Consider the following 26,910-nt stretch of genomic DNA (forward strand, 5'->3'; position numbering starts at 1 on the left):
GGGCCCAGGCTGCTTGAGGCTCCACCATCTTTACCAAGGCACTGAATGTGCTGAACAGCCAGCCACTCTCTGACACAATCTCTACTATCTATTATGTTCCATTAATCTATTATTTTTAAGACATTCGTGACATTCAGTGTAGTAAATTACTTTTCCTTTTCACCAGGGAATTCCAGGTGTTTTCTCAGAAAGTTGGCTTTTTCTGTGCCTCACTCTGTCCCATAGGCCAGAGTACAGTGGCATGATCATAGCTGACTGCAGCCTCAAACTCCTTGGCTCAAGCAATCCTCCTGCCTCAGCCTCCTAAAGTGCTAGGGTTACAGACATGAGTCACCACACCTGGCCATTCTCACAAAGTTTTAAACAGTTTCCATCTCTCCTACTTCCTAATTTGGCAATGGTGCTGTGTCATGTGTTCACATTTATTTATTTTGTCAATACATTCCCTGAGCCATTGAACCATTTTTTCCATCCTGTTCCATCATTGTGGACACTCTTGTACCTGAGTATCACACCTCACAGTAAGAGCTACTGTCTGTAGAGTACTTTCAGGTGCTACGTTTAGACACATTATGTGCCTTTTCATTAGGACATCAGGGCAAGCCTTCAAAGTAACCTTTAATAACAAGTTGTATGAATGAGGAACTAAGCATAGGAAACAACAGATCACATGACCAGGGCCATGCAACTAATAATGGACAGAAGAGGTAAATGGGCCTCGAACTTTCTAATTCCAAAGAATTTCTACTCTTCTATGCTGCCTCTTAGCTTCTACTCTTATTTCTATTTTCTGCAGACCACCTCTTCTCTTAACACCCTGACTTTTTTGTTCAGCTCCCTTTTCCCCTGCCTGGTGTGAAATAGCTACCTATAACTTTTCAGCTGAAAACTCTCTGAAGGCAAAGTGTTCCTGTGCTTCTCAAGATACATTGCCAATCATTTTTGCTAGCTCGGGCTTCTCTCCTCAGCCTGTAACATGATTCAATTTGTTCGCAGTGTTCCCTCTGTAATAGTTAATAGCATTTATTGAGTTCTTCCCATGCGCCAGACATTCTGCTAAATGTTCTCCATGAATTATCTGAATGTAGCCTTAAAACCACTCTGTGGGGGTAATCACCATGATCATCATCTCCACTTTATAGGTGGAAAAACTGAAGCTTCATTATCCTGCCCAAGGAGACCAGCTTGTCAGTCATCAGCTGATCTTGTAATCCAGGCCTTCCATCTTCAAAGCTGCTCCTTCTCATGGTTTTGATACTCTGCTGGGGGCGCACTGTGAGGGTGGAAGAATCACCCACATGGAGTGAGAAGTGCCTGCTAGTGCTGGCAGTTCTAAACCAAATGTAGTTTCTTTCCCTTATTTTTCCCCCAAGTACTTCAAACAAATTCCGATGAAGAGGGATTCCAATCTAGCACCACGTGGCCTCTTGTTTTCATATGTGATTGAATGTTCAAATTTGTTCAAAATTCTTTTTATGGAAAACTGTTTTCGAATAGTATAATTTTCAAAAGTTCTCAATGGAGTGGGGAAATTGGATCGGCACATCACCTGCATTTATTTTCTTTTCCCAGGCAATTTTGAAAGGACTGTAAAAGATCTTTTTTTTTAAAAAAAAAGTTAATCTTCAAAATTCTTCTGGGACATATAATCCTGAAGTGAGCTTAACTGCAACCAATACTGAGTTTTCATTTTTTCACAAGCAAACAAAAACAACCACCAAAAAGATAATTTACCAGTGTAAATTCCTTTCTGTTGATCTCTTTTTTATATAAACATATTTTTGGATGTTTTGCTTTAGTCATATGAAGTTTGGAGATCTAAGTTTTGAAGGGATGTGGATCTTTTTACACACCATAAGAAGATTATAGAGAACGGGGTTTGATAATACCGCCTAATTTGCACTAACCTGTAGTGTCATTTTAAGTTTGTTGCATTTTTTGGGAGTGTGCTTAAATAAGGCACCCCCCAGAGCCCTGCTTGAAAGTATTAATATATCTGAATATAAGAGCAAATCTAATTTCTTAAATTTCTTTAAAAAAAACTGAAGCTGTCAAATGAGCACATTAATCAACCAACTTCCAAATTATCACATTTTAAAGGTGTCTTGAAAGCTTAAGCAACCTCTAGTATAAATATTACATAGGTATTTCTTATTAATTTAAACGAGCAAATTTGATAAGATGCAAAATTTCGTGAGCTTTAATTTTTGTCTTCTAGTGACTGACAAAGAGAAAACTAACTAGCCGCTTTGTAATCACGCATTGCTATTGCATTCTTACAAAACTTGATTTAGAAGCAAACAAAGCCTTGAAAATATGTTTACTTAAAAATCATCCATGGCCATTTTTCTTACAAGATTCAACCAGAATCTTGGTCAAAATGTCAAGATTTTTGTTCCTTTCTTTTTATTTTTAAAAAATTATTTATGTCCCTTATTTGACTGGAATCAGTAAAAGGTAGTAGATAGTTGTTAGGAAACACAGCCATGAAAATGAATGCTGAGCAGGCATTTGGCCCCAAAATTCTGTTATATCAGAAAAGTACCTTAAGCCAATGAAATGGCACATGAATCTCTTTCCTTTGCTCACTGATTCTTACAGCAGAAAGGAATGGCCTATCCACGAATAGTTCCTCTGTCATCTTCAAATGAGATCCTATGTTGGCCAGGAGCATTATCTGTCACCTAGGAACCTCAGTGTTCAGATCTGGAAAAAAAAAATTAATTAAGGGTCTTGATATAATACCTGCTGAAATTCTTTGGGACTTAAGCATTTTATAGGTAACGTTTTAATAAACAGGCCAAAACATAGCAAGAAGACCAGGAGGATCAAGATATTATTAAAAATGAAAATGTAAGTAAAGAAACATCATTATTGAGTAGTTGTTAATCCTGCATGTTTACTAATGATCATTTGCGATTCTCTCTAAATATATCTCAATTTAAATAGGTGCAATTTTCATCCATCACACTAACTACTATGCTACTTTTGAACTCTAGACATTGTCAAAGGATCCGTTTTAACAATGGGAGTTTTGCCAGTGGAAATCCCAATGGGATGAAACCTGTCCTTTAGAAGTAACCAGATAGAGATGAGAATTGGGGGAAAGAGGCAAGATTGCATGATGATCTGGCCACATATTTCTGGATGACAATGTATCCTGGAGCTAGTAATTTCAAAATGTGAAAGGAATTCCCCTAAGCTCCATCCTAGAAGACAGCCGCCAATGTTTTCACTGAGAAGCTCAGCAGTCGGGCTCATTGTGTTGTAGGCCCAAGAATGACTGATCCCTCTGAAAGGGCTTCCGAAATCTTGCCTCCTTTGTCTAATTGGCTGCATCAGTAAATTGCTGGTGGAGAGTTTTAGAGGTTACAGAACAGGAATAGGTTGCAGTTTTACAGAAAGGCAGGTGTGAGGCGATTAAACACTCACTGTCTCCCAGCACTTTTAATCCCTCTGACCAATTACCTGGAATATAACTTGGAGCAAGTGACAGAAAATGAGGTTCCTACTGAGCCCACGTGTGTGTTTTAAATACATATGTGTAACATATACTACAGTTGCTTATGAAGAGTAGTTTATTTCTGTTTTCTTTTTCCTCCTTTTTTTTTTGATTTATTTGAAATGTTTGTGATGACTATACCTAACGTCCTAAAAAGTCTTCTTTCAATAACTTCTTAAGAAAGGTTAGTAAGAATTCAAACTTGGATGGAAATTTGTACCAGATAAGATGTTTTCAATCCTAATAATTCAATGAGTTTTTAAATAAAAAGTTAATGTGTTTTTATTTTGTGAATTAATTGCTGAAAAAGATCTAGTCTTTCTTCCTTTCTCTTTCTTTCTCTTTCTTTCTTTCTTTCTTTCTTTCTTTCTTTCTTTCTTTCTTTCTTTCTTTCCTTCTTTCTTTCTTTCCTTCCTTTTTTTTGTCTCACTCTGTCACCCAGGCTACAGTGCAGTGGCACGATCTTGGTTCACTGCACCCTCAACCTCCCAGTTCAAGCAATTTTCCCACCTCAGCTTCCCAAGTAGCTGGGATTACAGGTGCCTGCCACCACACCTGGCTAATTTTTGTATTTTTAGTTGAGACGAGGTTTCACCACATTGGCCAGGCTGGTCTTGAACCCCTGGCCTCAAGTGATCTGCCCACCTCGGCCTCCCAAATTGCTGGGATTACAGGTGTGAGCCACCGCGCCCAACCTAGTTTTACTTTCTACTTCTCTTTACCTTTAATGCATCTATGAAAGTATACAGACTTTGTCAAAGCATTCATTATAGAAATCCAATTTAACAGGTATTTGTTGGCCATCTAATATATATTTAGATTGTTTAGGAAGTAAGAGTTATCATATGAAGAACAGGAGGAGTTTAAGACATGGTCTCTGTTCTTGAGGCATCTATACAAGATTAAGGTGACTCTCATGGAAAAGGTAATTAGCAATAAGTACAAAACAGTATGTTATCAATTCCCAAAATGAATAAAATAGATGTCAAATGCTCTGAGAAGTGAGAGAGGTGTGCAGACTAGATGATTCTGGCAAAGTTTTTAGGGGAAGAGGGACTCAAAGGATGGTTTTTGGGTGGAAAGCATGAGATAAACAAAAATAAGGATTCCTGTAAGTTCAATAACTTGAAAATTGGAAGCCCCTGCAATTTCCTTTTTGTCAGCAAAGGGAGCAGGTGTTCTTTCAAAGACAAGCTTGAGAACAAATTAGGCACTATAGCTTTTTCTTCATGGAAAAAAAGCAGTTGGTTCATTTCTCTCATTGGCAGATCTGCCTTGTGTTACAAATCTTGGTAAAATTTTAGGGTAGGGAAATGTATGATTCAGAGACCTATGCGTTTCCTACAGAATAACTCCTGAAAGGATAGAAAAGAGAAGCTCATTGAAACCCAGTGGTGGGGTAGGATTCCCTAGAAGATGTCTTATTTGCCCCTTATGCCCAAACTGGAAGCCAAAATAAGAACGAGTGGGCCCACTGAAATAAATGGGACCCAGCTAAAGACATACCGGTGGACACAGATGGGAGTTGCACAAGAACTGGGGTATCTGTAACTAATGCACCTTTCCCACTTTCCCTGTCCATGAGATCATGTTATTCATCTGAAAGAAAGGCCAACGGGAGACAAAAGACTGTCAATAAGTAGAATATTGTGAACCTTTCTGGCTTTTAAAAAGAAACCACAGAGCTAGCTGGATTGAAGGAGCAAGCCTGAAACCTGGGGGAAAGAGTACAACACATTTTATGAGGACCTTTCCTTTACAAATTAAATGCCCATCTGTAAATACAGGGTTTGAGGATGAGAGCTTCCGTTCTGCGATGGAGGGACATCCCAGCTTTGGGCTTCCCGACAGTTCCTCCTTTCTTGAGTTCCTGTTTGGCTTGCTTTTGAAAAGGGCAGCAGGAGGACTGTGTCATCAATCATTGGGTCAGAAGGCATAGATTGTGGGTTTTCTAAACATGGATCTGAATGGGAGCGATTTATTGGATTTTGGAGTTACGTTTGTTTACTTGGTCTTGGCGTGTATATCGAATCTGGTATCCGGAGGACAAGAATAAGAGGAATCAAATATTTCTGAAGGAAATGGCAAACTAGAATTGGAATTGTCAAACCAATGCTCTCACTAAACTTTGGATCAAAATAACCTATAACAAATTCAATTATGATTTGGAATCCCCTACCTGAGAGAAGAATGCTCATTCTGTTGTACGATTCAGAGGCTGAACAACTGTGTAATAACTCCAACAAATTATTTCCAGTCAAAAATAAAGATTGCAATTTAAATATCACTTATCCGACTTCATGTATACCTATAAAATCTTGTTGAGTTTTAGCTAATCAGCACTCCAGAGATGACCTAGAGTTTAAGATCAGTTTAGAAACCAGCAACTTATCAGGAAATTTGGAGTCTGTGTTTTATTTCTAACTTTAAAAAAAGCCCAAGAATCAACATTAAAAAAAATACAATCCCAATAAAACTTTGAAAGTCATATTTTGTGCTAAAGTCTATAATTATAGTTTCCATTTCCTGAGTGCCAGGTACTGTTGAATGAACTGGACTTGAGCATTATGTCATTTCTTACTCACAGAAATACTTTGAGGGAGCAGCTGTTATTATCCTCATCCTAAAGATGAAAATGCTGAAATGCTGAGGTAAAGTGAAGTGACCAGGTCTTAGTAAATAACCACAGGGAAGAAGGACAACCTGGATTTCTCCAACTCTGGATTTGATGGTCATTGCAATATCTGCCAGTTTCTTGATTCTGGCTTAGGGTTGAAAAAATAATCATTCTAAGGTCAAGCAGCAAGGAAGATTGATTAAAATTCTAGAGGATACACACAGAGATAAACATAATTTGTGGTAAAATAAAACAAAACACACACAGACACACACACACACACAAACAACCAAAAAAACCACAAAACGTAACTCTCCAGGAAAGTCTAACTTTTTTCCAAATGCTAGTGAAATGCTGATACCCCCTGTGACATGGTTATATAAACAGACCATTGAAATGGTCCATTTTTATCAGTACCATTGCAGAATTTGTCTGAATGAAAATGTGTCCATAATCAATAATAATGATTCCTCTGTGGTTTGGGAATGACCTGTTCTAGGAAAATGAATTTTCTAGATGGTTCTTATCAGTCCATCTAAATGCCAAACCTAATCACTTCTGATAGAAATATTTCTAAAGTGTACTTCATATTATTCATGCCTTCCAAAAGAGATTATACTGAGTATTTACTTTGTCTGATGATTTGTTATCCACTCTTGTCCTGGCTGTAATATTACTGATGGCCACTCACAGGCAACTGGGGGTGGCAGCCCAAGACTTATACACTCAATGGCCCTGTATTGCTATGGTTTTTTTTTTTTTTTGAGACGGAGTCTCGCTCTGTCGCCCAGGCTGGAGTGCAGTGGCGGGATCTCGGCTCACTGCAAGCTCCGCCTCCCGGGTTCACGCCATTCTCCTGCCTCAGCCTCCCAAGTAGCTGGGACTACAGGCGCCCGCCACTACGCCCGGCTAATTTTTTTGTATTTTTAGTAGAGACGGGGTTTCACCATTTTAGCCGGGATGGTCTCGATCTCCTGACCTCGTGATCCGCCCGCCTCGGCCTCCCAAAGTGCTGGGATTACAGGCGTGAGCCACCGCGCCCGGCCATTGCTATGGTTTTACTTCTTATGTTTGCTTTTTGTTAATTTTCTTCTGTTTTCCTTTCTTCCTTGCCCCAATCTCTCACCTTCCTATTGTTCTCCTGCCTTTTCCACTTGCCTTCCTTTTCTCCCTGCTTCCATTCTTCACTTCTCCAAAATGTATGTATTAAGAGCCACAATGACCAGCAAAGAGCTAAGCAGTGGGAATGCGTCAGGGAACAAGATGTGTTCTGTGTTTTTGAAGAGTTTTCTGTCTTTTATTTTTATTATTATTTTCCGAGACAGGGTCTTGCTCTGTTGCCCAGGCTGGCATGCAGTGGCGTGATCTTGGCTCACTGCCACCTCCGCCTCCCAGGTTCAAGCAATTCGCCTGCCTCAGCCTCCCAAGTAGCTGGGATTACAGGTGCCCACCACCACGCCCAGCTAATTTTTGTATTTTTATTAGAGATGGGGTTTCACCATGTTGGATAGGCTGATCTCGAACTCCTGGCCTTGTGATCCACCCGTCTCAGTCTCCCAAAGTGCTGGGAATACAGACATGAGCCACTGCACCTGGCCAAGACAAAAACAGTCACAGCGTTCCTTGGTGGGCTCAAAGCAGCTTGCTGTCTTGAACTCTCAGGCGTCACTCATTCTAGTTTCCTGTGTGCCTCTAGAGTGGGCCTCCGCACGTTCTGATTGGCTGATTTCACCATGCTCCACAGACTTCCACCTAAAATGAGAATAAATAGCCTCTGTTTCCAGGCTTGAGAGACCTATGGGGATTTTATGAGAATCAGTGATTTTAAATGATTTTTAGTATCTGTCACAACTTACTATTGAAACAGTGTTATGTGGTGAAAAGAACTCAAACGTATATGCTGCCATTTACAGGCTCCATGACCTCAGCCAAGTCACTCCACTTTTTCAAGCCTTGATATTATCATCTGCCCACCGAGAATGTGGTGAGGGTTCAATGCTAAAATATACTTCAATTTCAAACCCAATGCCGGCCATGATATTAATAGTATTTACAATTTTTACTGTTTTAGAGGAGAAAGACTTTTTATTTTCTTTTTGGAAAATGAGATTTTTAAAGAATTTTTTGTTCTATTTTTATTTTTTGACTGATGACAGAAGCAACATATGTCTCATTGTGGAAAATTTGGAAGTCACAGACTGAAAAAATTACGGTGAAATATTTTCTTTTGACATTTTTCTATACATACCTATATTTTCCCACATAAACGAGATATACTATCTAGTCAACTGCATTTCCTAAATTTTCTATAAACTAACTTTCAATACATTTGTGGTCAAATATATAAATCTTTTCCATTGTCAATGGTGTCTATAATTCTCAAAAAACATTCTCAAAAAAGCCCTGATTTCCAACATTTACCAATTAATGTGGTATAAATACTCCTTTTATGACTGATTTCTGGTTGTATTTTTAGTAGAGACAGGGTTTCACCATGTTGGCCAGGCTGGTCTCTAACTCCTGACCTCAAGTAGTCCACCCACCTCCGTCTCCCAAAGAGCTGGGATTACAGGCATGAGCCACCACGCCCAGCTTGGGGCCACTTGTTCTTCAGTTTCAGTTCCATAAACAGGTATTAAAATTTCTGAATAATTATGAAAATCAATATAAGTATAATATTACTGACTGTGAGTACTCTCTATATTCTCTATACATGAGTGCTCTGTATATAAGAGATGAGGTCTTAACTTCATTTTTTTTTCTATTAGCTAATATTATTCTAGTACTATGTATGGAACATTTTTTCCTTTCTTTTTCTTTTTTTTTTCTTGGTTTGCTTTTGATATGGTTGCTGCTTTTACTATATATTGCATGCTAGTATTTATTAGAATCTGTTTTTAGAATATTCTACTTTTTCATATCTCTCTCTGTTCTCCTGCCAATCCCAGACTATCTAAATTATTTTGGCATTATCATCTACTTAAGCTTGTTGAAGATAGTGGTTATGTATTTTTATCAAAGCACTCGCCTGGGCCAAGAGACATGCTTTCTATATGGTAGATTCTGAGAAAATGTGTGTTCTTGGTATATTTTACTTCTTGGAAACATTAGTCCTTCAGGGGACCTTGATGTTTTAAGGGATGTACCAAGTACTCATTGAACCCAAATATTTAGTAACAATTCTCTAGAATTTGGGCCCTAAAAGTAATATTTGGATATCTGTATTCATTATCTAGTGCTGTGCAACAAGCCACCCTAAAACTGAGGTTTGGAATAACTAAGATTTCTCGATTTCTCGATTCCCATTACTCTTTTCACTTGCTTGGAGGGTTCCTCTGCTTGTTTCAGCTGGGCTCACTCCTGAGTCTGCATGGAGCTGGAGGATCAGCTATAATGGTTGGGCTTCTCTCTCCATACTATCTTTCATCCTCGAGGAGGATAGACCTGGCTGTCTTAGGTGGTGACAGAAACATTTCAAGAAGGCAATACCATAGAGATTGCTTGTCAAGCCTCTGCTTGCAGCATATTTGTTGATGTCTCATTGGCTAAGACACGTCACATGGCCAAGCCCAGTGTTCTTGTGAGAGGAGATAACACAAGGTGGTAGAATATGGGGGATGTGATTCATTTTGGGAGGGAGGGATGTGATTCATTGTGGGAGGGAGGGATGTGATTCATTGTGGGAGGGAGGGATATGATTCATTGGGGGTGGGAGGGATGTGATTCATTGGGGGAGGGAGAGGTGTGATTCACTGGGGGAGGGAGGGATGTGATTCATTGGGGAGGGAGGGATGTGATTCCTTGGGGGAGGGAGAGGTGTGATTCTCTGGGGGAGGGAGGGATGTGATTCATTGGGGAGGGAGGGATGTGATTCATTGGGAGAGGGAAGGATGTGTTTCATTGGGGGAGGGAGGGATGTGATTCATTGGAGGGGGAGGGATGTGATTCACTGGGGGAGGGAAGGATGTGATTCATTGGGGGAGGGAAGGATGTGATTCATTGGGGGAGGGAAACATTAACATATTCGTCTATAGCAATGTTTCTTTCTCTTTTTTTGATCCAATCTGGTCACACAGTTGGCCTCCACGTAAATGGAATAATAAACAATGGCTTATCTAGAGCATCTAATGATAGAAACAAAAGTGTATTTTTAGGCAGATCATCACTTCTTATATTCTTGGCACACATGATTTTATGTACATGTGTTATTTATACACCACTCAAGGAGAACTAGAGGCTCCTTGCAATGAAAAGCAGATTCACGGTTAAGTATTAGAAATGCTCAAAAGCCTTGAAGGCTAAAGCTAATTTTCTTGTTTTAATTGAATATTCAATTTAACCTTGAGCTTCCTAGGAATCAAGGCAAAAAGGGAGAAACATGATAGGTTGTGTGCTCTTTATTACTTACTGAGGGAAAGCACACTGCTTTTAGGAGTGATCTTTTTCTTTGCTTTCTTCATAGAGTGGCATAGAGGGCTGTGTATTCTATAAAGCCTCACTGAGAGTAGAGAAGCATTTTTCATACATCCTGTAGTAAAAACAAAAGGTATAACATCAAAATGAGACTCAGGGGAGATGTTTTTGACACCAGATAAACTATGTGATGAAGGAATGCAGATTTCTTGTCATTAATACTACAGATAGAGAACTTTGAACTTTAAATACCAAAGATTATCAATGCAACCTTAGACCACAAGGACTAACCTTTGACTACCTAAAGTTATGAGTGCAACACTAGATCACATGAACACCGTCAGAGATACTTGGGGCCACTTGTTTTTGTTTTGTTTTGTTTTTTTGAGACAGACCCTCATTCTGTCACCCAAGCTGGAGTGCTGTGGCGTGATCTCAGCTCATTGCAACCTCTGCCTCCTGGGTTTAAGCAATTCTCCTGCCTCAGCCTCCCAAGTAGCTGGGATTACAGGTGCCTGCCACTATGCCCAGCTAATTTTTGTATTTTCAGTAGAGATGGGGTTTCACCATGTTGGCCAGGCTGGTCTCTAACTCCTGACCTCAAGTGATCCACCCTCCTTGGTCTCCCAAAGAGCTGGGATTACAGGCATAAGCCACCACACCCAGCTTGGGGCCACTTGCTCTTCAAACACATCATACACTCCCAACCACCACAGAATGACCCCTCATCAGAATGCCACTCAAGTGCCCCCTCATCAGAATCCCTCCCTGACCACACAATCAAATTAGTGACTTTCCCAATGTCCCCCATCCATATTTATATAAATATTCATTTACCCTGCTATATTTTCTTAATAGCTGATGTCACCACTCAGCAATTACAAGATCAACTGAATATTGCACTATTGCAAACAATGCAACATCAATGTTCCACAGTGACCTTTCTCTGATTGGGGACTTAACGTCAATTTTGTTGGAGCTATGATCAATCATTTTTATGAAGGTATTAGATACATAAAATTTAAGACAATGTGAAAGTGGGTCCAAAGTTCTTTTTCATAGAGTAGCTACTGCCTGTGCAGATGGGATCTGCTATGAGGATAAGTACAAGCAGTGAAGGCGGTCAGAGAGAGCTGTGTTTCAGTGTCACTTGGATGCCAATCTTAGCTCTGTCACTCACTACCTCTGTGGCTTTTGGTGACTTCTGGTCTCAATTTTCTCAGAGATGAAATGGGGATAATGATCGTGCCCATTTAGAAGATGGTTTTGAAGATTCAGTAACTTAACATGTGGAAGGTGCACACATTGCAAATTTTTTCTTTCTTGCTGTAATTCTGAAAGAGGCAGGAGTTGACAAAAAAGAGATCGAGCTGTTTTTTTCTGAAGGCAATTTATTGGACTACCACAGGGATGTTTATTTTCTTAACTAGAGGTCATGAGACACAAAGGCCACTAATGAGTGAAATTGGTGGCTGGGGGAGTCCAGGGCTTTCCTCACTTCTTCCAAGTTCTTCTTAGACTGAAAAAAAAAAAAAAGGAAAACAAACAAAAAACAAAAAAATGGTTCCCTGTAAATTTTATGACTGCAGTGTCAAAAGTCTTCTATCTAAATTGCAGTAAATATTCTAATGAAGTCTGGAAAGAAAGCCATTTGTAATGGCTCGGGGCAGAGTATTAAGATAGCCTGTTTCTAGTTAGCTGGTCATTAGAGAGATCTAACATGCATGGGAAATGGTTTCCTGTTCTAAGTGCTTTAAAACCAAGTTTTAGGAAACCCCGTTTCCTGCCGGCTCATTTGGAGACAACAGTGTGCCAACCGGTCAGACTTTTCAGATGGCCAAGTGGTCACCTTCTCAGCTACAATTTAGTTTCGCTGCAGCAGCCTCTACCAGGGAGAGTGGGCTTTGCATCTCAGGGGTCCTGGCAGGGAGTAGATAGCTCCACAGAGCGAGGACATCTGGACGGGGCACCACTGAAAGCTGTCCTTTGCCTCTGTTGTAAATGCATTGGGATTGAGTGATTCATGGGATGAGTCAAAACCTACAGGAGAATCTTCCAGTCATCAGCCTAGATACATCTATCTAGAAACAGACTGAGGGGACTGGTGAGAAAATGGTGGATAAACTCCCTGGTTTGGGAGGGACAGGGTAGCTGATGGGAGAGGAAATTCTTTTGGCTACCTGATGTGCTGTGCATTAAAATGGGATTTTCCAAAACAAGGAAGTCCCAGAGACTTCAATTAGGATGTAGATGAAAGTATTTGCTAATCAAATCCATTTGTTTTCTTTGGTGTGTGAGGTAAGGACCAATACTGTACTTGGAAGCAGGAAATTGATGGTTCCAGGAAGACTGCACATTTCCTCACCTTCGGAAGACACCCCCTCTAAGAGCTGCCCAAATCAAAGAGGAAAATCCTTAGCCCCAAATTTTTGATTGCAGCCTTATTACTGACCTTACTGAGAGGTCAGTAAAGGGCCCACCTCCAGGCATCCTACTATTATCTGAGAGGGCACAGCCCTCATAAGCACTTTACAGACACTTTCAAAACTAATTGTGAGGGCAATGCAATGAGAAAGTACTTTTATTATTCTTGATGGTAAATTACATTTGAGGGCCCAATTCTTCACTGCTCACTTCATCCACATTTTTGCCATAGCCTCATTTTGGGCAGAACTTCCTTTCATATCTCTTGACTTTACTTTAGCTTTTGGCCAGCAACACATAATTAAAAGTACACAGTGCCAGTTCTGAGCCGTGGCCTTCAAAGGCCACATTTCTTCCTGCCTTTTTGCAGCTCTGCTCTCACCTTGAGAAGAACCAGCTAGTCTGCTGGTTCCAGGAGGATGATGAGAAACACATATAGCAGAGTCACCTCTACTAACCCACAGACTGCAGTGAGAAGCAAAGCCTCCACAGCCAACCCTCAGATGCGTGAGAATAAATAACTGCTGTTTTAAGGCTCTGAGTTTTGGGGTGGTTTGTTATAGTACAATAGCTAACTGATACATCCTCATTTTACAAATAAAGACTTGGAGATCTTAGTAATGGTTTTCCCAAAGCACAGAACTGTTAGCTGACTGAATCAAGATTCAAACCTAAGCTGAGTACCTGTAATCCCAGCACTTTGGGAGGCCAAGGCAGACAGATCAATTGAGGCCAGGAGTTCAAGACCAGCCTGTGCAACATAGTGAGACCCCCATCTCTACAAAAAAAATTTAAAAATTACCTAGGTATGGGGTCTTATGCCTGTGGTTCTAGCTACTCAGGAGGCTGAGGTGGCAGAATTGCTTGAACCCAGGAGTTCAAGGCTGCAGTGATGTATAATCATGCCACTCCAGCCTGGGCAACAGAATAAAATCTCATCTTCTTTTTTCTTTTCTCTTTTTTTTGAGACGGAGTCTCGCTCTGTCACCCAGGCTGGACTGCAGTGGCACCGCTGTGGCTCACTGCAAGCTCCGCCTCCCAGGTTCACACAGTTCTTCTGCCTCAGCCTCCCAAGTAGCTGGGACTACAGACACCTGCCACCATGCCCGGCTAATTTTTTTTTTCTTTTTCTTTTTAGTAGAGACAGGGTTTCACCATGTTAGCCAGGATAGTCTCGATCTCCTGACCTCATGATTCACCTGCCTCGGCCTCCCAAAGTGCTGGGGTTACAGGCGTGAGCCACCATGCCCGGCCTCTTTTTTTTTATTTTTTAAATTAAAACCTAGAGACATTCTTAACCATTACGTTAAACTGCCCTTGCAAGTCTTACTGATGAGCTAGAAATTCCCTGGAAGTTTTTAAGAATTTGACTTTTCTTTCTTTCTTTCTTTTTCAGATAGAGTCCATTGTCATCCTTTTGACTGGGACAAGTAAAGGGCAGAATTGATTTTTCAGCCGGATTCTTACTCCTTATCAGTTGGAACAGGCAGGATGAGGAACAGAGCCCTAGAGACCTTATCTCATCCACTGTCTTTTGACCTAACTGCAGAGCTTGTCACCACTCCACATGTCATCTTATTTCTGCCAGGCCTTGGCCTTATTTCCTACCCTTCTTTTCCACCTAAGTTAATTTCTAGTGATAGATATTTGCATTTCAACAAGGGAAGCGTGATAGAATTTCAGATAAGTTGCTAGGCAGTTGGGATGAAATGTTTGGTCTGCCTAACACACCTAAAATCTCAATCCACAGGTACTGTTTGTTAGGCAGGTCCTGGTGGAATGATAAAGATAGCATCACAGATTGACAAAGCTTGGGCTGAGAGGTCAGGACACCTACACACCAGGCCCATTTTTGCCACTAACTCCCTGTGTGAACTCAAAAGTCTCCCTGTCTGATACAGTCTGGCTCTGTGTCCCTACCCAAATCTCCTGTTGAATTGTAATCTTCAATGTTGGAGGAAGCTCTTTGTGGGAGGTGATTGGAACATGGGGGTGGACTTCCCCCTTGCTGTTCTCGTGATAGTGAGTGAGTTCCCACGAGATTTGGTTGTTTAACAGTGTGTAGCACCTACCCCTTCACTTGCTGTCTCCTGCTCCGCCATGTAGGATGTGCCTGCTTCCTCCTCCCCTCCATGATGATTGTTAAGTTTCCTGAGGCTGCACCAGCCATGCTTCCTGTGCAGCTTGCAGAACTGTGAGTCAATTAAACCTCCTTTCTTCATGAATTACCCAGTCTCAGGTAGTTCCTTATAGTAGTGCGACCATGGGCTAATACACTATCTCTCTGTGGACCTTAATTTCCCCAGTAGTTACAGGAAGGGTTTTCAAGAAGGCATAATCTTTTTGATTTCTTCCAACTTTATCATGTTCTCACTCTCTGCCACCAACCACAAGGGCCCAGAAGATCCAGGCAGTCCCACAAATACTGAGCTGGAGTCAAGTTTCCCCCAGTTTAGATTATTAGACCTGAACCTGTTATTTTCATGATGTACTCTGAACAACCCAAGATTTCATGTCACTGGGTATAGCATAGATGTAATTTGGAAAAGAAGAGGTTTCTAGGAAGTACAATAACATTCCCCATTATTTATTTTTTTAAATCTTATTTAAATAAAGATTGTGCATTTAAAGTTGTATTTGATTGAACAACGGTCCTTTTTTTTAAATTTTCCCTGACAAAAGCTATGAATTATTAATTTCTGTCATTGTATTCACTGAACAAATGTAATTGCAAGTAAATGTCTAAAGTTAATGAAAAAAATTAAGAAAAAAGGATTTCTTTATAAGAATTAATAAAACATTTCCACAAACCTCTTTGAAATCATGATTATGAAGGCTTACAACGCTTCTTTGAAGCTGCATACCCAGAGCAAAGAGGCTTGAGCTCTGCTCTTTCTGTGGCATGAAGGATGAAAACATTCTATTACGATTGTGCCAGCTATGGAAATCAACACACACAAGGATTCTAACCTTAACCCTCCCATTATGTCCGTTCTGTTGTAACTGTTTTTCATTCTTTCAGAGCCACCTTTCATTTATGGGAGGTCACAAGAGCTCTCCCTCTTGTACTTTGGCTGCTGTTGTAACCATTTAATATTGTTATATTCACATACCGCAACAAAAAGTGATGCTTTCACTTCCAAAAGAGAGAAATGAAAGAAAAGAAGTGAAAGAAAGATGAGAAATTAAAAACAAAGGTGTATGGAAACATACAGGGATTGGATCTCTGAATTAAGCTGGCATTTAGCTTCAAAGCAGAGAACTGAAATAATTTCATGTCTCACCCCTCAAGCATCCTATAAATCCTTACCAACACCTGGATAAAACCAGAACTAATCTTCCAACTCCATCTAGTTCCCAACTCAGTTGAGGAGCTCACCTTTCCTTCCTCACCCGGTTCCCCACTTCATCTACTCCTATTCTGTTAGTACAGTAGTAAAAACTGCAAATCCAATACAGGGATACCTGGGTTCTGATTCAAGTTCTGTCCCATTTGTTTTGTGTCCTGGGGCACAGGCAAGTCCCTGCTCCCACTCAGAGCCCCATGTAAAAGTAGAGACAACAATACTTGCCTTGCCTCCCTCATAGGATAGGTGTGAGTGCTGAGGAAAATTAAACCCATTGTCAATGAGATATAAATGTAAAAAAAAAATTGTTTTTGTTATTTCAATTACTTTAGTCTCTGAGGAAATCCCAGAAGCCACTCAGCAGTGCAGCACGGTGGTTTCTATATTAAAATGGAAGCTGGAAGCCAGTTGTCCTTCCTGGGATCAGAGCTACTCCACATTTTCCAGCACCTTCTGCAGGTAAAATGGAGCCATGTGACCGAGTCTGGCCAATTATCCATTAAACCTCACATGAAGTTCTCCTGGCTTGTCTCTCTCTTTTTCATTTCCTAGGAGGATGCCGAGTATGTGGTAGAGTACTCCAAGTCTTTGCAGATTACAAAGTCACCAGTTGTACCAACACTGGGTATTTGAATCACCATGTAGAAATGCACCTTCTGAACATCCAGTAGGTCTATGATATAAGAAACAGATAGACCCTTACTGTGTTAAGCCACTGAAATTTGGGGCTGTTTGTTACATCAGCTAGTATAATTTATTCTTGCTAATTCACCAGAGTAGACCTATGAGAAACTTGAGTGCAAATCTACAGTCAATGCATGTTAAAACTAAGTGAATCATTTTTTTTCTGGGGCTATTTCAAAACCATTTTTCTAGGATAATTGGCTCCCAACTTGTACAATATAAAGAGAGGTTTATGTTGGGAAAACTCTGTCCTTGTGGGGTAACTGCTGTCATAGGCAGATTTAGCAAGGATTTCTTGATAGGAAACTACCAGGGTGCCATGTCCTTGGTCACCTCCTGTAGCCAACACAACCATATCGCCACCAAGAGATGCTTGTGTGGGGTGAGAGCCCGTGTACGGTTTATGATTCTGAGGTTTGCAAGGCAGGATCTTTGCTTTTCTCTCTAGTATTGCCAAAGAAACATCAATGACCAAATAGGGGCAAAAGAGAATCATATTTTGAGTGCTCTCTCATTCTCTCTCTGTCTCTCCCCACCCCCACCTCCCTTACCTCATGCATCCGCCTCCCAGATCTAAAGACTTTTGGAACATAAAAAAGAGATTAAGTGGAAAGGCATATTCCTATAATTTACCCAAATGTGCGCATTTCAATCTATGGATAACAGCGGCTCCAAATTACCCCCAGACCAACACACTATCCTTATTTAAGGGATCCTCTTAACTCTTACCCTGAAGTCTCCATAAATCTGCCTGATATATAGATGTCAGGCATTTTCTGGCAGTTGAAACATGAAACATGACATCAGCTGGGGATTAAGTTACAACTCATAAAGACCATGTTTATTTGCTGGTTCTGTTTAAAAATTTTTCCACTATCATTTTACTCAAATGGCCTCCTATTTTATGAGAAATAAAGTTAGAACTAATGAAGGAAGGTCTTTCTGAGCTCAGCTGGACATACAGGCTGTGGCTGTCTTTGTTGTAACCAAATATTTAAATTATTTAGAGCCAATCGTAATCTAATGTGTTGATGAAATGGCACCACAAGCTAATACAGAGACTTCAGACACAAAAATGAGAGGAGGAATCTGAGAACTAAAGAGGGAGAGATATTAAAAATTAGAAGAAGGCCAAGTTCAAAGAAGCAGTGACGCTCCCCCATCAGCAGCCCTTGAATCTCAAAGGGATCTCTGAGCCATTTGAAGGAGCACTCCAGGCACGTGGACACAGAGAGGGCCCCCTACTGCATCCCTCTGTCCGTTGCCCAGCAGGGGATATTAGAGTCACTGACCAGGGGCTCTACTTTCAAACAGCAGCAGTTGATATGAGAAGAAATGCCTCTTGTTTAAGGGCTCTGGGAGGCAGGAACAGCTATGATATAAACTAAGTTTTTATAATTAGAAAATCTGGAATAATTTATACCTTGCGACCCACCCTCTTTCAGCAGCCACCCCTCCAAACCAACAAACAAACTCAGAATATGAATTGAATATTCAAAGTATGAACATGAGGGAACCTTGTGTCTCAAGTGTTTAACTCAAAGTAGATGCTCAGTAAAATTTGCTGAATTAAATTCTACTCATCCAACGAATCTGGTCATGTATACAATGAGGTAGACGCCTGAATCATTTTATTTTAGTAGTGTTGGGAAGCCCCTACCCTCTTTCCTTGCAAATTTCCTTCCAGAAAGTATGCCATTACTATTTTTAAAAAATTATGCCTGGCATTTTATTTTAGTAGCAAGGGAAATTTCCCTTCCTGAGAATATGCTTTCTATAAATTTTACCACAATCGTTGTTTTTTCTTTCATTCTTTTTTTCTTGCATATGCTTTTTGCTTTATTTGAAGTGTCTGTTGCAGTAAAAAAAAAAAATAATCCTGTAAGAGATGTTAAAAAGCATTCTTAGCATCCTGTAGTGAATCAAATGGATTTTCTCCCTGGTTGGATCAATGGAGCATCCTGCTAGCCCTAGGGGCCTGATCCAATAGTGGGGCCAAGTTTCAAGAGGGAAAATGAGCACCAACTTCAGGTTTGTCTCAATTGTAGAACGCCTCATGCTGCCTGAGCCACTGGAGAACAGGTTTTCCAAGGAGGACGTTTCCCACTTGTCATGGAAAACCATCTCCAATATTGGAAGAGATTCCACATGTTACCAGTACGGTATTGTCTCAGCCTTGATTTGGGAGTCTAGCTCAGGGATCAGCAAACTACGGCCTAGAGGCCAAATCTGTCTCACTTTATAAGATCCATGAGCTAAGAATAGTTTTGACATTTTTAAGTGATTAGAAAAAAGGTCAAAAACAGAACAATATTTTGCGATATGTGAGAATTATAAGCGATTCAAATTCAGTGTCCATGAATAAAAATTGGCTGAGAAATCAGCCATGCTCATTCATTTACATGTTTCCTACAGTGACTTTGCAGACTCAAGGACAGACTTGAAGGGATGTAAGACAGACCCTGCAGTCTGTAAAGCCTAGAATATTCACTATCTGATCCTTTGACAGAAAGTTTGCCAATCCCTGTTCTTATTGGGCATTTCATGACTTAGACAATGTGGCAGCTGTGGCAGTCTTATTTTCTAAACTTTATTTATTGGTGACATCTTTTTAAGCAAATCTCATTCGTCAGGCTGGGCAATTTTGTGTCTGTGCATGGTAAAATGGTACAATACACGTAATATAAAGTTTACTATTTTAAGCATTTTTAAGTGTAAAATTCAGTGGCAGTAAGTACATTTACAAAGTTGTGCAGTCATCACCATTATCCATTTCCAGAACTTTATTATCATCCCTAACAGAAATTCTGCACCCATTAAACAATAACTCTCTATGCACTTGCCCTCGGCCCCTGATAACTTCCATTCTGCTTTCCATCTCTATGAATTTGCCTGTTCTAGATGCATCAGACCAGTAGGATCATACATGTGGCCTTTTGTGCTGGCTTCTTTCACTTAGCATCATGTTTTCAAGATTCATTCATGTTGTAGCTGGATGAGGACTGTATCCTTTTTTAAGACTGAATACTGTTCCATTATGTTTCTGTATCATTGGGTATATGTACACCACTGGGTATTCATTTTTAGCCAAGGCTGCATTGTGTGGGATATGATTCTTCAGGTTCACTCAACTACACGGTATCCATGTGGGAGCCACAGGCCAAGGCCTTTGTGCTTAGAGGGAAGTTAAAGGCAAGGAAGAAGTCCTCTGGTTCTGGACATATGCACCTTCATCCACCTTTGGATAAAATCAAGTGGTCCAAGCAATTTTTGGATCATACACTTACTTCTGTGTATGTTTGTAATGTCTTAGGGAGTGTATTAGTCCATTATCACACTGCTATAAAGAACTACCTGAGACCAGGAAATTTATGAAGAAAAGAGGTTTAATTGACCCACAGTTCTGCAAGGCTGGGGAGGCCTCAGGATATGTATAATCATGGCAGAAGGCAAAGAGGAAGCAAGGCACGTCTTTCCATGGAAGAGCAAGAGAGAGAGAGAGAGAGAGAGCAAAGGGGGAAGTGACACACTTTTAAACCATAGGATCTCATGAGAATCACTTACTATCACAAGAACAGCAAGGGGGAAATCCGCCCCCATGATCCAATCACCTCCCACCAAGCCCCTCCTCTGACAGGCAAGAATTACAACTTGACATGAGATTTGAGTGGGGGCACAGAGCTAAACCATATCAGGGAGCAAGCAAGTAATGGAACTTTTTAAGCATTTTCCTAAGTTTAGAGAAAATCTAGGAATCCTAGAGATAAAAGCTTTCTTCACAGAGAAATATCTATAAGACATTTCAAATAGAGATGACTCCATCAATTTCCTCCACCTAAGCTCTTTGAGTGTATGTAAGAAAATATATTCCTCTGCATTGGTAGTGACTATATATACATTGGATATATGTTATCAAATTGTGGTACTGTGATTAAAGTAATCTAAACTAGAAAAGTGTTAACCAAAAGCAACGTTCTTTAAACAATGTTTATTGAGTACATTAGTCCCATGCTAGGCTAATGTACAGAAAATATGGATATGGACATGGTATATTTCTTTTTTTCTTTTCTTTTTTTTTTTTTTTGAGACAGAGCCTTGCTCTGTCACCCAGGCTGGAGTGCAGTGGCATGATCTCGGCTCACTGCAAGCTCCGCCTCCCAGGTTCGCCCCATTCTCCTGCCTCAGCCTCTGGAGCAGCTGGGACTACAAGTGCCCACCACCACGCCCAGCTAACTTTTTGTATTTTTAGTAGAGACGGGGTTTCATCGTGTTAGCCAGGATGGTCTCGATCTCCTGACCTCGTGATCCACCCGCCTCGGCCTCCCAGAGTGCTGGGATTACAGGTATGAGCCACTGCGCCTGGCCTGGACATGGTATATTTCATGACATCAAGAAACGTTAATTCTTGTGCCTCAATTTCCAAACTGTGCACCAAGGCACCCAGTATGCTGCAGTGAATTCACACGAGGACTGTCTGATGTTTTAAATTTTTGAGGAAAACACAGTAACATTTGTCAGACACTGTGCAAACTACTAGCTTGAGGTAGTTTTAACTTATTTTTAACATTAGATCACAGTATATTTTTCTGGATGATAGCCTATCTTTAGGCCAGGTGCGGTGGCTTAAGCCTGTAATCCCAGCACTTTGGGAGGCTGAGGTGGGTGGATCACGACGTCAGGAGTTCAAGACTAGCCTGGCCAACATGGTGAAACCCCGTCTCTACTAAAAATACAAAAATTAGCCAGATATGGTGGTAGTAGCCTGTAATCTCAGCTACTCAGAAGGCTGAGGCAGAGAATTGCTTGAACCTGGGAGGTAGAGGTTGCCGTGAGCTGAGATCACGCCACTGCACTCCAGCCTGGGAGACAGAGCGAGACTCCATCTCAAATAAATAAATAAATAAATAAATAAAATAAGATAGTTTACCTTTGTGAGGCTCGGTTTTCAGAGGTTGTGTTAAAAAGCAAGAACCATGTGAAGATCAGTGTGGAACAGGAAATGGTGGTGGTGTCCAATCTGATGTTAAGACTTGACACATTGCAGACATCTCATTAGTAATTCTGAATATTGGAGAATAAAATAAACAGATTTTTTTCTTACAAATGTGTAATTTTAAAAAATGCCCATTAAGTTTTTTGGACGTTCATACTTGTTGAGTTGTTTGGCCCTGACTACTTACTAAAGGGAACTGATGGGTAATTCTTTTGAACTAGGAGCACTATGAAGAAATTACTGAGCCACTTAGGGCACTATGAATTGAGAAAGTTGTTGAACCTCTGATCTTGTGAATCAAGCATGCTACTCATGTTGAATATGAACACTTTTTAAATTAAACAAAAGCAAAGACAAAGGCTATATGGTATGTAAACAATGCAGCAACCAGCAATGTCACTGCTGTTATAATTCAAGGGTAATCAATGTGATGCCATCGACATTAATGACACAGAGTCAATATGCACAAACTTTTAATATAAGCCTAATTATGAGCATCTCTTTGCATAAAACTGAAAATATTGAAAATGTTGACTTTGGGGAGGTACCCTTGGATCAAAACTCCTGAAGAAGTCAATAATCTATTATGATTTTCATTTTGCATAAGCAGTGCTATTATTTCAAAAGGTCTCAAAAATCAATATGGCATTCAGTATATCTGTGTAATAATGACATCCTAATTAAAAATCCCAATCTGAGTAGTACAAAGGATGATGTTTAATCTCTAATCAATGAGCACCAAGTCCAGAAGTTATAGATGCAATAACCCTTTTTAATGAACTTCACTACTTTTCTCAGATTTGACCTGTTTTTCTCTTTGCAGTTTTGGAAGCCTTTTCTGTCTGAGAACATATCTGAGGAAGTGAAGACAATTTGGTGGAACAAGCACATAAATTAAAGCCAGTAACATCAAAGAAAAATACTGTCAGAGTTATGCAGGTTTCTTTTTAATTGGAATTTATAATTGCTCCTAATTATAGGACATACTTTAAATGTTACTTTGAGAGGCTGAGGGAGGGGGTGGAGCCCTGTCCACTCTAGCCTCATGAGCTATAACCTTGACATTTTAATTAGATATTATTTTGAAATATGTAAAAGGGATTTACATACTCGGTGAAACATATCATTGACTGTGCAATTTGCCCAAGAAGACAAAATGATACACAGTTTTAAAAATAATCAACTTCTCAAAGGAATGGTAGAAATTCTTAAGAGGGGTGAAAGCAACAAAATATGTCAGCATTGTGTACACGTTCAGGTTTTCTAGTTTCCTCTGAGCAAAATTTCTTCTTCTTCATAGCAAGCCTGTGTCGGTGGCAGTGTGCAAACAAAGGGAAGTGCGTCCAGTTGATTTATGGGCCACACACACCCATCCTGTAGATAAAAAGGGAGGTCAGAAGAGAGTCGGGAATCTTCTCTTTGAAGACAATTTCTGGTGCCATATTACTTGACTACAGGAGGATGATTAAAACAAACCCTTAAGTCTCTTTCTCATGAGATGCCTTGCTTTTTTATGCTTCAATAAATTAACAATTTGGGACAAAAGTAATAGGAGAGATGGGACAAGACCATCTTTCAAACTTTGCCATCATAAGTTAACTAGGGGTCTAACGACATGGAATTTATTGCGGATATCCAGCAGTTGGGGAAACATACTTATAGAATTTATGGAATTCTTCCAGGAAGGAAGAGATGGAATGGAGAGCCTCATTGTTCTCCACCCAAATTAAACATTATTGTAATCTTTCAGAATATTGGGCTCTATTCCAAACCCAAAAATAGGGAGGAAGTAGAAGTGTCCTAAATTAACTTTTGAAGAGGTTGAAACAGAAGGCTGGTGGTGAAAGGAGAGCTTTGCCATACATGAGGCTCTGGGTGCCAGACCCTACCCTGCCATCCTGGGCATTGTACTTGGAGACTTTGTAGGAACAAAGATACCTACTTTGAGTGTTGGTTCTCTGGCAGAATTTGGAAGGAATGCCCTGATTGTTGGGCTCCACTGTCCATTGAAGGACTTACCACCAGGGTCAGGATCTGAACTGGAGGATGTGGTGGCCATTGGAATGCACAGCTTGCCCAGAGCCCCTCATCTCAGGCCCAGCAGGCACCCTGGGCTTCAGCCATGGCTGCACCAGAGAGGGGAAATGTTTTCCATCCCGTGTCATGTCTAGGGCCCCAGTGAGGGGCACTCGCATCATTGCCTCCTCCATCCCCAAGGGGATTCCCCTTAACTATGTCATAGCATAGAGAGAGGTCAGGACTAGGATTTTTTTTTTTTTTTTTTTTTTTTTTTTTTTTTTTTAAGGCAGAGTCTCGCTGTTGCCCAGGTTGGAGTGCAGTGGCGCGATCTCAGCTCACTGCAGGCTCCGCCCCCTGGGGTTCACGCCATTCTCCTGCCTCAGCCTCCCGAGTAGTAGCTGGGACTACAGGCGCCCGCCATCTCGCCCGGCTAATTTTTTGTATTTTTAGTAGAGACGGCGTTTCACCGTGTTAGCCAGCATGGTCTCGATCTCCTGACCTCGTGATCCGCCCGCCTCGGCCTCCCAAAGTGCTGGGATTACAGGCGTGAGCCACCGCGCCCAGCCAGGACTAGGAAATTCTTATGGTGTTCATGGGCGGGGTGATGCCAGGGAAGAGAAGAGTAAGTGGGAAATGGGATGGAGTTGCTTCAAGGAGATGCGACCACATTCCTTTGACTCCACCTAAGCGAAGCAGATCAACCCCATTCATATAAAATCCTGAACCTGAAACTCTGAGTAGTTGGAGTGCTGGTGGAGTGGGAGCAGACTGAAGACTGCCTTTCAGGACACCACCTTATTCTCTACACTGGTTTGCCACTCACGACCCTTTGACAGGGAGGCATTACCTTGTTAGAGGAAGACAGATGCAAGGAGACTCTCCCGGACTGTTGGCCGCTGACCCTTGGCATGACAGTAACCAGAATGCTTTCCCACTTCCTGCCTTCAACTGTTCTTGCTATGCCACCCCACCCTCTGCCGCAGGACACTCACTCATCACCACCGGGAGCTGCCGATGGATTGCTCCATGCCCTCCAGCACTGGGTACTCATTCTTTGTCACACACTGCTTCCTGGACTTGCCCTATAAAGCAAGATAATGCTCCTGCGGAGAGGAGAAAGAGCTCAAAGTGATTGTTGTAAGGGAATGCAGAGGAAGCCTCCTATTGACTCCTCCATTCTCATGTTTATGGACCACCTTCCGGTCTCACATACGGCCATTTCTTTCCATTGAGGACAGAGACACTGGGAAAACACTCCTGGAGAAACTGCAGAGTAGGGGCACATCTCATAAAAATCTACCTTGTGTCCAGGATGAGACTGTATTTCCTCCACGCGCCTCAACCTAATTTCCTGTGGATTTCAGATCATCTTTTATTTCCAATTATGCTGCTGTTCACATTATCGATTTGGAGGATACAAATGTTGAATGACAAGAGAGGGAGAAGAAGGAGGGGGGAGGAGAATTCCATTTTGCCTGAAGGATAAGATACTCGAAATGCCACCCGCACAGCCTCTCTGAAGCGTTCATCAACGTGGCAGAGGCTGGCTCAATTATCTTTGTGTCAGATGATTATCTGAGAGCTTAATTTAATCTCCATTATCCTCCCCCGTCATATTTCAATTAAATCTGCTATCAGAGTGTTAACACATCTTTGAACCTGCTATTTCTTCAGTTAATTTTCCACTAAGAGGTGCTGGAGAGTAACAGATGTCATAATTATGCAATTATTAAGTGTATTTGACACTCGTTCTCTCAGGATTTTGTGGTTAGGGTAGGAGGGTTGGAAAATTAATCTGATGACAATATGCTTCCGTTGTGATCCGTAACACCACTGCAGGCTGGGGGACTGTCCTCCCGCTGTTTCCGAGGCTGCCGCCAAGGAAGATAAAGGATTAACTGATTGTGCGTCAGATTCGTTTCACTTTTGTATGTCTGGTAAATTGGATGAGTTCATTAGGCTGAGCAGAACACCAGAGGCATTTTTTTAAAAAATAAAAAAAAACCTTCTTCAAGACCTCAAGAAGTACAACAAGTACATCTCAGGGAATATGGTAAAGTTATCAACTATAGAGTTAAGGGCAGTTAATCTTGACTTTAAAATCTTGGGTTTTAGTTGGGAAATGAATGCCAAAGAATTGCATGACCTTGGTTAAGTCACATCCTCTCTCTGAGCTTTGGATCTATGAGGAATGAGCAGGCTTGATTCCATAGTCTACTACCTCTCCCAGCTCTACCACCCCCTGGAAATTGTTACAAGCTGTCTATTCCCTCTCCTCCCTCAATATAATCTATACCTATAGCTATTTAAATCCTCAAATTTGTTAAATTCGAAGCCTGAAAAGATGTCTCTATCTTTTGGTCTATAGTACATATTCATTAAGACCAAAAGCTCATCAGGTCTTCAAAGCCTGGTTTTGACATTTACTAGCTGTGTGACCTTAGACAAATTGCTTACCCCCTCTGAGCTTCAGTTTCCTCCTCTATAAAATGACAGTTATGATGAAATCTATTTCCTAGGATTGTTGAGATGATGAGCTAAAATTGTATTAGTCATAGTCCATTTCTATGTGTCTGTCTGGCTCATGTTCACAAAAGGAGTTGGAAATATATAAGGGAAGTTGAAGTGAGGAATGGATATGCAGACTGCATGATTGTAGATATCCTTGGAAATTTCTTTCTGACATCACATAAGGGCTTCCATAGTACTAAAGAACATGGTTGTGTCCTTGCAGGCTTGAGAGGTCATGCGGATGACAGCTTTGTCCTTAAGCACAGAGGGAGGGGACCTTCTCATGCATACTACCTGCTGCTGGGACAGTGGGGCTAGGAACCCAGTTCTCCCTTCTCCTGGTCCAGGGACTTTTCCTCACTGTACTTGGCCTCTTAATCCATGTGAATCAGTTTACGTG

The 26,910-nt window shown here is 40.9% G+C and overlaps 1 long non-coding RNA gene across 1 annotated transcript, besides 7 other annotated features; it reads right to left on the reverse strand.

The window, feature by feature from the left end:
* Window positions 1-7,747: 7,747 nt before the first annotated feature.
* LOC107984892 (uncharacterized) lies at window positions 7,748-22,070 on the reverse strand. Its single transcript, XR_001752181.1, has 3 exons — window positions 21,915-22,070; window positions 10,528-10,647; window positions 7,748-7,871 (listed from the first exon to the last, which is right to left on the reverse strand). It is a non-coding gene; the product is annotated as an uncharacterized LOC107984892 (long non-coding RNA).
* Window positions 8,985-10,184: an enhancer, noted in NCBI's record as "P300/CBP strongly-dependent group 1 enhancer chr16:51654939-51656138 (GRCh37/hg19 assembly coordinates)". NCBI's record gives its function as "activates an origin of replication core promoter dependent on BRD2, BRD4, P300/CBP, MED14 and CDK7 cofactors, with strong dependence on P300/CBP, by STARR-seq in HCT116 cells {active_cell/tissue: HCT116}" and the evidence as "EXISTENCE:reporter gene assay evidence [ECO:0000049][PMID:35650434]".
* Window positions 11,856-12,762: an enhancer, noted in NCBI's record as "VISTA enhancer hs72". NCBI's record gives its function as "enhancer in: limb[6/6]" and the evidence as "EXISTENCE:transgenic organism evidence [ECO:0001131][PMID:17130149]".
* Window positions 24,591-25,180: an enhancer, noted in NCBI's record as "OCT4-NANOG-H3K27ac-H3K4me1 hESC enhancer chr16:51670545-51671134 (GRCh37/hg19 assembly coordinates)". NCBI's record gives its function as "activates a minimal SCP1, AML or CMV promoter by ChIP-STARR-seq in primed H9 embryonic stem cells {active_cell/tissue: H9 hESC(primed)}" and the evidence as "EXISTENCE:reporter gene assay evidence [ECO:0000049][PMID:30033119]".
* Window positions 24,591-26,085: a biological region, named in NCBI's record as "VISTA enhancer hs71".
* Window positions 24,895-25,189: a silencer, noted in NCBI's record as "tiled region #637; HepG2 Repressive non-DNase unmatched - State 21:Repr, and K562 Repressive non-DNase unmatched - State 24:Quies". NCBI's record gives its function as "represses a minimal TATA promoter and a strong SV40 promoter by Sharpr-MPRA in HepG2 and K562 cells {active_cell/tissue: HepG2 | K562}" and the evidence as "EXISTENCE:reporter gene assay evidence [ECO:0000049][PMID:27701403]".
* Window positions 25,181-25,770: an enhancer, noted in NCBI's record as "OCT4-NANOG-H3K27ac hESC enhancer chr16:51671135-51671724 (GRCh37/hg19 assembly coordinates)". NCBI's record gives its function as "activates a minimal SCP1, AML or CMV promoter by ChIP-STARR-seq in primed H9 embryonic stem cells {active_cell/tissue: H9 hESC(primed)}" and the evidence as "EXISTENCE:reporter gene assay evidence [ECO:0000049][PMID:30033119]".
* Window positions 25,227-26,085: an enhancer, noted in NCBI's record as "VISTA enhancer hs71". NCBI's record gives its function as "enhancer in: forebrain[4/6]" and the evidence as "EXISTENCE:transgenic organism evidence [ECO:0001131][PMID:17130149]".

The sequence above is a fragment of the Homo sapiens genome, chromosome 16, assembly GCF_000001405.40.
Source record: "Homo sapiens chromosome 16, GRCh38.p14 Primary Assembly".
NCBI classification, from domain to species: Eukaryota; Metazoa; Chordata; class Mammalia; order Primates; family Hominidae; genus Homo; species Homo sapiens.